A 12255-nucleotide genomic window follows, 5' to 3' on the forward strand; every position below is an offset into this window, starting at 1 on the left:
GATAAGGAGAAAATACCAAGGACAATTTTTTTTAAAAAAGCTCATAAATAGATAATAAAATTTAGCAGTATTTAATATTGCAGAGCCAAAGAAAGAAGTCATTAATGGATTCAAGTGTTCCAAATAGGTCAGGCAAAAGATCTGAGTACTAACCATTTAAATAAATAAACTGGTACATTCAGATAATATTGCTCATTGCTTAAAATAATAAGCTATCAAGTGGTGAAAAAAACATGGAGAGACCTTAAATGTATATTACTTAGTGAAAGAAGCTAATCTGAAAAGGCTACCTACTGTATGATTCCAACTACATAACATTATGAAAAAGACAAAGCCATATATATAGTACAAGTTTCAGTAATTTGTCACTAGGAGTTGGTAGGAGAATGATGAGCAGGCAGAGCACAGAGAAATTTTAGGACAGTGGAAATACTGTAATTACGAATAGATACGATTATGCATTTGTCTAAACCCGTAGATTGTACAGCACTGAGATTGAACCCTTAAGTAAACCACAGACTTTGGGTGATTATGATGTGTCAGTATTGGCTCATCAATTATAACAAATGCACCACTCTGGTGGGGGGATATGGATAATTGGTGAGGCTATGCATGTGTAGGGGAAGGGGTTATATGGAATACCTTTGTACCTTCCCGTTGATTTTGAGGTGATCCTAAAACTGCTCTAAAAAGAATAAAGTCTGAAAACATACAAGCAGTATGTGTTTCATGGCTTATCTTCATTAGCAGTTTCAGTGGAATTGTATGAAAGAAAGATAATTGTAGTGTATTAAATAAAATATGGGATATTAAGATCAGGAGCAAAGCAAGGATGTCCTCTCACACTACTGCTATACAACAATGGACTAGAAGTCCTCAGTAGTAACCAAAGAGAATAAAATTTGTATAGAAATGAATAAAATAAAATGGAATTTATTTACAGATGGATTATTGTCTACATAGAATCCAAAAGAACCAATAAAATCATTAGTAGAGCTAATGTAAGTTAAGCAAGGTTTTGAGAAAAATGAGAAAATATGGTAGGATTATCAGACAGCAGTAAGGGCCCAGCAGTCACTGGTGGGTAATAAATTTAAAGACCATTTAATTTAGTTCAGTTTGTTTTTCTCCATCCCCATTTAGTGGCACAGATTCAGCCAATGAAACAGTAGAACGATCAATTTAATAAAGGTGACATTTTTCCAGGCATGTATTTTGGAGAAAGAAAGGAAATTGAGCATGTGAGGCAGGTAAAGAAAATACCAATGTTGGTTAGAATCAATAAATTTTCACATCTATTAAGTTAAAAAAATGTAGCCAGGGTACTTTTGGGAGAGAAATGGGAAAGTAGTTACTAGGAATGTTGGGTGCTTGAAACTGAGAATCAGCTATGGGTAAAATTCTTAGTAATAATATCACTGCTGAGGTAGTGTAGAGGAAAACTCCCTGAAAAGATTAAGGAAGTCAGAGGCTTTGATATCCTCTCGTTGTCAACATGAATATAAACATTACCAAATATTATGACAGGAATATTTTAACAAAAAGGTTAAATAACCAGGACATCTGTGGTTGATTGTAACCAACAAGGGTAATGAGAGGTGATAATCTGTTTGAAAAAGACTGAAACCTGGGCGTTTACAGTAAAAAATACGTGAGAATGGAGAAAATGAGGTACCTATACCCCTCCAGAGAGGGGCTGATATTTGGAATGAAAAGCAAAGTGCACATTCAGAGCACAACCAAGAGATTACAGAGCACTGTTACTTCGCTGATGTGATCCCTTTAGTGTCCTCAAGAGGATGGGACGCATGTAAATCCTACAAGAGACAACTGTATACGTAAATGAATACATTTGCACTAAGAAATATTACTTTAAAGTGTTCCAGATACTTCAATAGGTTGAGATATTAGAAAAATAAAGCATTTTCTTAATATGTTGCATTTAAATCCCGTAGTTTCAACAGTTGAGAGTATTGTCAGACACCATAATGATTTATTTATTTGTGTATTTATTTGAACCATGATAGTTTCAAGTATGCATGTTGTCTGCTGAGACCTCAGAATTTTGAGAATAAAATGTTTTAATCATGTTCTTGTTTTGTTTCCCGGTTTGCTTAGCCATATCTGAATAAATATGTTCCGTATTTCTGAGAATACATCCAGTTATATCACAAGATCTTTGGGGTGTTACTTCACCAGCTGGAAACCTCTGTGGCTGGTGGTACCTTCGCCCAAGTTTTTGCTCTGGCCTGCTGGGCTTGTTCTGCCTACTGGGTCTGGCAGGCTGCACTTGGCTTTTGCTACTGGCCGGGATCCCACACCTGCCAAAAGCAAGCCAGGCACGAAGTGGTGAAAAATGCGTGGGCAAGCAAGTGCTGGGTCCATCCGCTGCACACAGCCAGGCTCGCCAGCTGCTGTGGCGGGTGGGTAGCTCCAGGAGCCAGCAGAGGTGCCAGCTCCGTGAAAGACTGAGGCTGGACCAGATGTACAGCATGCAGGCTGCGGGTACCGTGTCTGGACAAGGGGAGCACGGTGATGCCTGGAAGTTTAGTGATGCCAGGAACCACAGAGCCCCAAAGAGGGAGTCACAAACCTGGCTCAGGGAGCCACGAGATCTGGGCTCCCCAAAAAGCCGCAGCTCTTCTCTCCTTCTCCTCACATGCAAAGTGACAATCAGGGGCGTGTGTTTCAGCCCTGTTTGTGGTTACAGCTCTTTTAGTCCCGCTGTGTCCGGAAATGGTGGGTTCTTGGTCTCACTGACTTCAAGAATGAAGCCGCGGACCCTCGCGGTGAGTGTTACAGCTCTTAAGGTGCCGCGTCTGGAGTTTGTTCCTCCTGATGTTCGGATGTGTTCCGAGTTTCTTCCTTCTGGTGGATTCGTGGTCTCGCGGGCTCAGGAGTGAAACTGCAGACCTTCGCGGTGTTACAGCTCATAAAGGCAGTGTGCACCCAGAGTGAGCAGCAGCAGGATTTACGGAGAAGGTGGGCGGCTCAGGCATGGCGGACTGCAGGTCCTGAGCCCTTTCCCGCGGGAAGGCAGCTAAGGCCCGGCGAGAAATTGAGCGCAGCGCCGGTGGGCCGGCACTGCTGGGGGACCCAGTACACCCTCCGCAGCTGCTGGCCCGGGTGCGAAGCCCCTCATTGCCCGGGGCCGGCAGGGCCGGCCGGCTGCTCCGAGTGCGGGGCCAGCCAGGCCCACGCCCACCCGGAACTCCAGCTGGCCCGGAAGCGCCGCGCGCAGCCCCGGTTCCGGCTCGCGCCTCTCCCTTCACACCTCCCTGCAAGCTGAGGGAGCCGGCTCCGGCCTCGGCCAGCCCAGGAAGTGGCTCCCACAGTGCAGCGGCAGGCTGAAGGGCTCCTCAAGTGCCGCCAAAGTGGGAGCCCAGGCAGAGGAGGCGCCGAGAGCGAGCGAGGGCTGTGAGGACTGCCAGCACGCTGACACCTCTCACCGCCATTTGCCAGGTCCAGAGTTCTTGTCCTACATCCAGGAAGAATGAAGTACGTGGACAACTGGAAAGTGAGTAAGGCAGAGAGAAGCTTCACTGAGTAACAGAACAGCTATCAGGAGACCTGCAGTGGGTAGCCCCTTTCCATAGGCAGGTCGGCCCAACAAGTCAGGAAGACCTGAAGTGGGTAGCTTCTTCCCACAGCTGGCAGTCCCCAGGGCTCTCCGAGGCTGACAGTGTCCAGGGCTTTTAGGGGCTGAGAAGAGAGGAAGTGCATGCAGATTGGTCCATGGGTGGCCATGGGCAGGTCTGGAGAAAGGGCCTTGTCACTCCTGACCTGGGCTCTAGACAGAACTGGCAGCCCGGCCCCCAGGCCTCAGGCCATCCCTGGCTTGAAGTTGAGGTTTCACCAGGCACCCGCCCCTTTCCGCCCAGGAGCCTGCCTGCGTCCTGCTGCCATGACATGCCATCCACAATGTCCAGGCTGTTCCTGATGAGGATCGCCTGCAGGCCCCTGCTGGGCCACCCTCAGCAGCCCCTTGGCCTCCCTCCCATGCTCGTGAGTGCCCCAAGTCTGGAATGGGCCAAGGCGGCAGGGGGCTGGCATGTCACTGCCACTCCTAGTGCACACACACCAAACAAGGTTGCAACAGCACCCAGGCTCAGTCACAACTTTGCTCTGCCTCAAGCAGGCTTCAGGAGTGGGGAACTCCAGGGAGTAGGAGCAGGCACTTCTGAGCCTACAGGGCAGGGAGGCTTCCCAGGACCCTGAGAGCACAGGGACTCCCTGGTCTGGAGCCATGGCTGGCTGGCTGCAGCTGTGTCCTGGAGGGTGGGGCTCCTGGCTAACCAACCTGGTAGAGGGTGGGGCTCCTGCCTGTTCCCTCTCCGGCACCGAGGTGCCGCAGAGACGCGGCGGCACCTCCCCAGCTGTAGCCAGAGTCTTTGTAGCTGCTTTGTAGCTGCTTTTGTAGCTGCTGCTCCAGATGGGCTGCTGCTGCCATCAGTTATATATGAAAACTAAATTTTTCCAACTACGGAGGAAACTTAGTTTCTATATTAAACTATATTCTACAGAATATAGTTTTAATATATAATTAAAATTACACAATATAGTTTAATATAACATTTTGACTATTTTATGCTTTAAAATAAAATCAAATATAACTATTTTTTATCATTTCATTTCTTAAGTTATATTTCACCAATACAAACCAATATTCATGCATTGATGCAGTATACATAATCATTTCAGTTAAATAAATTGACCTGAAAATTAATGATAGCTATTCCTTATTGTGTTAGGTACCATGAAAAGGGTTTTACATACACAAACTCTGTAAAGGTATTTAGTACTAAAAAAACAACAACACACATATGACAGAAATTTCAGTTACCACCCCCTCCCCCCTTTTTTTTTTTTGGAGACAGAGTCTTGCTCTGTCACCTAGGCTGGAGTGAAGTGATGTGATCTCAGCTCACTGAAAACCAGGTTCAAGCAATTTTCGTGCCTCAGCCTCCTGAGGATCTGGGCTTCAGGGGTGCCACCATGCCTGGCTAATTTTTTTGTATTTTTTAGTAGAGATGGGGTTTTGCCATGTTGCCCAGGCTGGTCTCAAACTCCTGAACTCTGGCAGTCCTCCCACCTCGGCCTCCCAAGATGCTAGGATTGCAAGCGTGAGTCACTGTGCCCGGTCCCCATTTTTAAAATGAGGGAAGTGAGGTACAGAAAGTTTAAGCTACATGTCCAACATGAGCAACTAAGTAACAGAGCTGAGATTTGAACCTAAGCAATTTAGTTCCAGATGCCCTGCTGCTAATCATTACATTAATTTGTTTTTTAGGTTATCTGTATGATCCAAATGAGATATATTAAAGTAATAACAAAGGAGAAATTGCTTCTCTGTCATCTAAAGCTTTTTGTTGTTGTTGTTGAATCTTAATGATTTTATGCTTAATTATTTTAGTGAATTATTTTCTTTTCTAATGCATAGACTGTTGGAGAAAAGTAAAACAGAATTCAGCTTATCAATAAGTTATATTCCTGTTAGTGTATTTCTGAGACTTTCTTTGAATAATATACATGAAGATGCATGTCACTAATTTCATTTCTGAGCATAAGCAACAACAATTATAAATAAAAATAAAAAATAGAAATAAAATCAATGACAAAAGTGACTTGAAAATCTGTTTCCACCAATATATGGGAAAATGGAAATAACTTGCAATTTAATAGCATAAATATCACTGTTTGAATTCTAGTTGTTCCCATTTATTAGCTTTATAACACAGCCTGGGCAAGTGACTTATTTTCTGGACCACTATTTTCTCACTTGCCTAGTGAAAATAATACTTCTTTGTGGTGTTATTTTGAAAGTTGATATTTGGAACACGTAACCCAGAGATTGACACATTCTGAGCATTTAATAAATGTCAGCAACATTATGCTTCAATCTCATCTTTTAATCAAAAAGCTTTCCTCGGGGTGAGGCAAAACCCTTGAATTTATGTTACTCTAAGAGACTATCCAAAAAAATCAGTCTATTGTTTTAATATTTGCACAAAATATTTAGAAACAGAACTACTGTGTTATGCTATCATCTGCTACAGGTTTTTCAAAATAAAATATCACTCTAAGTGGTATAATCAATAAACATAGTACAGACAGAACCCTGAAATAAATTCCTAATCCTGGTTGTTACTCTTATATTAGTCCTTTAATACTTAAATTATATTTAGAAAAGCCTTCCCAAAACTAAAATTCTTAGAATATCTACATTTTTATGTAAGTTAATTACATCATAAATGTAAGACATCATTAAAATTTAGAAAAACAAAAACATAAAGGCTACTAAGCAATGTGGCTTAGAATTCTCTCTAGCACTGTAAAATAAAAATAATAGGGGCTAAAGAAGTTTCTTTGATTTGAAGTGGCTTTCTTTGGAGAAGATAAATTTGATAGCAGATACCCAATTATATTATTATGGTCCATATTCATGCACAGGGCAGAAAATTATCATTAGTTTTCAAACAGACAACAGGATCAAAATATTAGAAAGAAAACAAATATTTAACTTTGCTTTCATAAATCCTTTATAATGCCAAAATCAGTAATGTCTGTTTAGTATCCAATTTTAAGGTGAATGAAAAAAATCCAAGCAGATTATTCTTTAAGTGTTCAATAATTTGAAATGCTGCCATCCTATTCTAGACTTTTGGAAAACAATAGTAGAAATGAATCAAGTTGCAAGGGATTCATCTACTGTAAGCTCCTTCTGAATCTGGACAAAATAGGAAGAGTTATGTTATATAGCCCTGGAAAAGTGTCATGTAGCATTGATTTACTACGTTAGTGACAGCACTAAAAAAAACAATTCAAACTACATAAGAAATAGCAAAAAGTGCAGTCTACAGATGTTTTCCTTTGGATAACATCATTAGCCCTGGGTACAACCTGAAGGCACAGACTTGTATTGAAAGGCAGCCATGAACCCCACTCAGTTCATGTGACTTCTTGTCTTTTAAAAGTATTTGTGAAAATTTCAGTTTACTTTAATATGGTTATCATGTTTATGTCACTATGGAATGTAACACTCTCTGTTATCTTTACTTTAAAAAAAGTGGTTGAATCAATGAATGTAGCACAACCTAGTAGAAAATGTATTATTTTGAAATAATGCAGCTCATTAATTTGAGCATCCAATTCTTTTTTTGTTAACTTTCATTTTAGGTGCAGGGGTACATGTGCAGGTTTGTTATATAAATAAACTCTCGTCACAGGAGTTTTGTGTACATATTATTTTATCACCTAGATATTAAGCATAGTACCTGACAGTTATTTTTCCAGTTCTTCAGCAATATTTTGGGAAGTGAAAGGCAGGTTCTCTTTATCTAAGCAACAAATAAGACATTAAATACATATGATGTTTTCTTTTTCTTTAATATAGAACAAATAATGATTTTTATATTAAAAGGTAAGATATTTTTTCACTTACCAATTAGAACAACGGCAACACAGGTTTTTCACTAATGCCAATAGACATCCAATTATTCATGTTCTCCTACTGCCATGTATCAATTTTAGATTAGTATTGCATTATCATTTGATGACACTCTTCTTCAAATAGTGATAGTAACTTTAATTTCATTCTATGATGATATTGGGATTTCATATAATAGAGAATTTTCAGTTACCCATAAATTCAAAATACATAGTATAGTTAAAATTTAATTAGACTGTAGCCTGAGGTATATAAATAATAAGGCCATTTAATTCAAATAATATGATACTATCTTATTTTCTTTATAAATGAGGTAAAGTTGTGGCCCAAATGAAAATAAAATGGTATCTAATTAAATTGTTTTAGATACAAAGGACATTTTCTATTATCATTGAAGAATTCGTATCTAAGCCTAAGAAATGAATACTCAAATAAAAAAATTTAAAATTAGAAATCAGAAAGGCTCTTTTTACCCCCATTTGATAAATTTATCATCTCACCCAAGCATCAAATATTTATCACTAGAGGATGCTACCTCAGATTCAGGACTGTTATCATTTCTCAGGGAAGAGTCACAACTCCTGAAGAGTTACTGCTTAGGTTAACAATAGTTTGTTTCATGGAACATCAATTTCTAAGCTTTTGAAAGAGCAATTTCACAAGCCTGCATGAGAAGGCATGAATATTGGCCCCCTTACAGGAACTAGGACCATGTGAGCAGGTATGGTGCCCAGAGGAAACTGTGATTTATCATGCTACTGTCAATAAACTACAGAAAGAGTTTGGGCCAAACAAATAGGAAGCCATGGTGGAGGGCTACGGTGCAAAGAAGCCAAGCAGCAGGGGAGCCAAACGTGTGCTGGGCTAATTTAATTTTTTAAAGCTGTAACTCAGCCCACACCTTAGGGACACAATTTCTCTCTGGCAACATTTTCTGTGAAGCTAAAACAGCTGCTTCACCTATCTCAAATCAGATACTGTGCTGTTTCAAGCAAATGTTTACCAAAAATAACAATTCTTAGGCATGCTTTTCCAGAAAATTTAGTTTGAACAAAATAGATTATCATGCCTTTAAAGTAAGGGTTGATATAAATAATATTTGCTAATAAAATTTTAATTTTGGCATTTCTAGTAACCTATAGAAAAAGTATGCAAATTACTAAAATGCAATGTAATAATATACAACCACATATTTTCATAATATATTTTCAAAATGATATGTCATGAAGGGCAACAGATTTAAGGAATACAAATCTCATAATTCTGAACATTTTTAACTTTTTATAAGTAGAGAAAATTTCTCAAGTATTTAAAACAGTGATTTATTAATGTTAATTTAATTATCATTATATTTTATCTAACTCTCATTCATTAAATAAAAATACAATTTCACAGGAATACTAGTCGTAAAATGTGTATTTTCTATTTTCTATTTTCTTTTGGATTTTTTAGCACATTGATTGAAATTGAAGAAACTGCTAACAAATTAGCATTATTTGAAAAGAAACTTTCCCTTTAATACATTGAAACCACATTTGTTTTCCATTCACTACAGGTTGTAGAATTCAGTATTTTCAACATGGTAGCTGGAGTAGCATTTGTTTTGTTTCTCAACTTTAAGTGCCATATCCTTCATAATCTGAAGTTTTAATCTCACAGATAGAGAATGAACACATTAACAGGATAAAGCATCTATTACTTATTGTATTTCTATATGTGTCAGCTGGAATCAAAATTACTGAAGCACAAAGCAAATTCAACAGCACAATGTTAGGTGACTCTTACATGCCTCAGGAATAGAGAAAGTCTACAAGACCTCTGTAGTGAAGGTCAGAATGTAAAGAAACCTATATCCAGGTCCAGGAGGTGCATAAAAAAATGCGAGAAGGCAATTTTTCTAGCTTCTGGCTAAATTCAGTGAGATGTCACAGTCCAGATGAATCAAGTTTCAGCAAGCAGGATGAATGTCAAATGGCTTATGCCAAAGACCAGCTTGTTCTTGGAGGATGCCTAGGGCCATTTTGTTCAGAGATTTCATGGAGGAAACAGTCTGCAATTGTAACTCTGAAAAGCCCGCTAAAAATCATTTTAAAAAATATTTCAGACACATTGAATTATAGGAAATGACTCACTAGGCCTGCAGCATCCTGAAAAACTTTTTTTTGTTGTTAGTCGAAAATTGTTTCAAGAGTAGAATGACTAAGAATAAGTGCATGTAGCATTCCGAGCCAAAGTTAGCAGATGTTCTCTTATCTTAAATGCTACATGAACACCAAGACAAACAGAATAAAGCATTTGGACTTCAGAAAATTCAGAGCTGGGTTGAAATAGAAATATAGAGAGTCCAGTTTTAAAGTTTTGAATATACCTCTCTTTTGAATAATGATATAACTGACAGTTATGTGCCTAGTCAGTCATAGCCGTAGATATGTGGGGAGTTATCATAGCACCTCTGGTCCTGCCATGATGACTTCTACAGTTTCAAACACCAGTGACATAGCTAACACACTAGTGTCATGCTTGCAATGCTCATATTACCCAACATTAGCCACACCGATGTTCCATCTGTCAGAGACATATCTGACACCAAAATAGCAAATGATGCTGTATTAGCATGAATTAAGAGAACAACAATTAAAGCCCCATCTATTTATTAAAAAAAATTGTCTAGACCTTGGCAAAATCTTGCTATACAAATAAATATTTTTGTTGGTGAGTTGTGTAAAAATATTACATCAAATTCTACTTAAAGCCTTTTAGAACAAAATATACTTTAGCAAATAAGATGTTGCTCTACAATACATTCTTTAAATGAAAATGTAAATAACTTTTAATTTTATTTAATGGAGAATTTCAAATGCACTTATATAGTAGGAAGAAAAATGGTGACTGTAGATGCAAAAATTAGTTACACATTATGTAAACACAGGATATATACATCAAACATTCCACTAAAAATAGCAAGAAATTGGAATTCCTTTGGGGCATAAAATATAATATTCCAATGGAAAATTAAACAGCTTAAGTGAGCATAAAAATAACTTGCACCAAAACTGATTTCCCTAACACACACAATTATAACTTCCATTTTCTCCTGTTACCAAATTATTAATGTAAGAAAACACTGAAGGAAACCACAGTTCACAGGTGAATTAATGAGGTAAATGGAGATGGGAGGAAGTCAGATTTCTATGTGTACACAATTTAATAAACAATTTTTTGCCACGTTTTTATTAATAGCATATATAAAGGAAGGGTTCTGATTTATAAATACTGTTACAAATTATCTACATATTTAGTTGCTATGTAATGTGACTGAAATGTCATTCCGTGGTAAGGTAAGTGGGAAAAGTTAACCTCTTCAACGATAACAGGATTTTATATGGCTTTCATTCCACTGAAAGTTTGTTTTATAATTTCCACTTTTCAGAATATAGGAACTTATGTTATTACTCTTGTCACCGTTATTAAAATTATTTGATAAATTTAACACAAAACATAAAATTAGGCTTCCAAGATTAATAATATTTGATTACCATGTGAGGATATTTATAGATTTCTCACCAAACCAGTTAGCTTTATATTTAATCTTCATGATTTCAAGTTTCATAAATAAGATACACCATGATATTAATACAATGTACATTTATTAAACATATATTAACTGCAAAGGAATAGCCTAATTTTTTTGTATTATTCAGTTTAGCTTAATTCCCACAGCAATCCCTTGAGATTAGTACTATTATTAGTTTAATTTGGATATGGGGATCTCAGTGACAAAATCCCCAAAATATTCTAGTGTCATGCAGCAGTGAAGCAGCAAGGCTGAGTTCCAGCCCCTGGATGCAGAGCATATGCTTTCTCTCTTAATGAGTACATATCTTTTACTTGTTAGTTATTAAATACTGCCATAGATATAATCTAATAAATCACATTTATACTGGGATTATTCCCACTCAGCCAATAGCCCACCTACAGATTCCTACTTCCTGCACTCATGGGAAATGCACCAAGATTTGGATTCACTAAAATCCAGCAGAATTTTGTATTAATAATTCTTAAATCATGTCATTCGGTAGTGAGCTTAGGCTCAAGTAGGAGTCGCAGGCATATGCGATACAAGTCTGTTTCCACACTGTTCTTCAGTTTGTTAATAATTTAAATAAATTTTAAACTTAAATGTTATAACCTATGTGTACTTTTTAACACTCATCTTGCATGAGTTGTCTTTTCATAACTGAAAAATAAATTGAAATTCTAATTTTAGCAAACAACATGTTAACTACTATAGTGGATCTTTTATTCACTGTAAATTAAGTAACCACACTTTTTTTATATTCTGCCAAGTCATTAACAAAGATCCTAAATGGTATAAAATCAATAATGAAATCCAGTGCCACAAACTCATGATCCTCTCTGCAGGTTCATAACAATCAATGTATTAACACTAGATACAATAATTTGATCAACAACTACTACTCATAAATTTTCTATCACATGTCCCCTTAGAATAAAATACTATTATGAAATGCTTAATCTAATTAACATGTAAACAAAATAAAGTCATGTTGACATTTTGTGAACTTAGATGTGCTATTCAGCTTCTTAATGTTATCATTTTCCTTCCAAATGTTACCACGTAACCTATTATATTAGCTGTTCTAAAATTTTCTTAGCAGTAAACACATAGATGATAAATCTGGAGGTTTCAGAATCCACCTTTTAACCTTTTTGCGTACCATATAGCATCTGTTGTGGTTAGCCAATTTTCTTCAACCTAAGCATACTTAAGTCATGTAGCATTCTGT

The 12255-nt window shown here is 37.6% G+C and overlaps 1 long non-coding RNA gene across 2 annotated transcripts in view; it reads left to right on the top strand.

Annotated features, from left to right (window-relative positions):
• The first annotated feature begins 1152 nt into the window (after positions 1 to 1152).
• Positions 1153 to 12255, top strand: part of LOC101927439 (uncharacterized) — a 58245-nt gene continuing 47142 nt past the window's right edge. The window contains exon 1 of one of the 2 annotated variants that reach the window (XR_427355.3): positions 1153 to 3517. This is a non-coding gene — a long non-coding RNA (uncharacterized LOC101927439). The remainder of the gene's footprint in view (positions 3518 to 12255) is intronic. The other variant, XR_941002.2, reaches the window with a different exon arrangement.

This window comes from Homo sapiens, chromosome 3, assembly GCF_000001405.40.
Source record: "Homo sapiens chromosome 3, GRCh38.p14 Primary Assembly".
NCBI classification, from domain to species: Eukaryota; Metazoa; Chordata; class Mammalia; order Primates; family Hominidae; genus Homo; species Homo sapiens.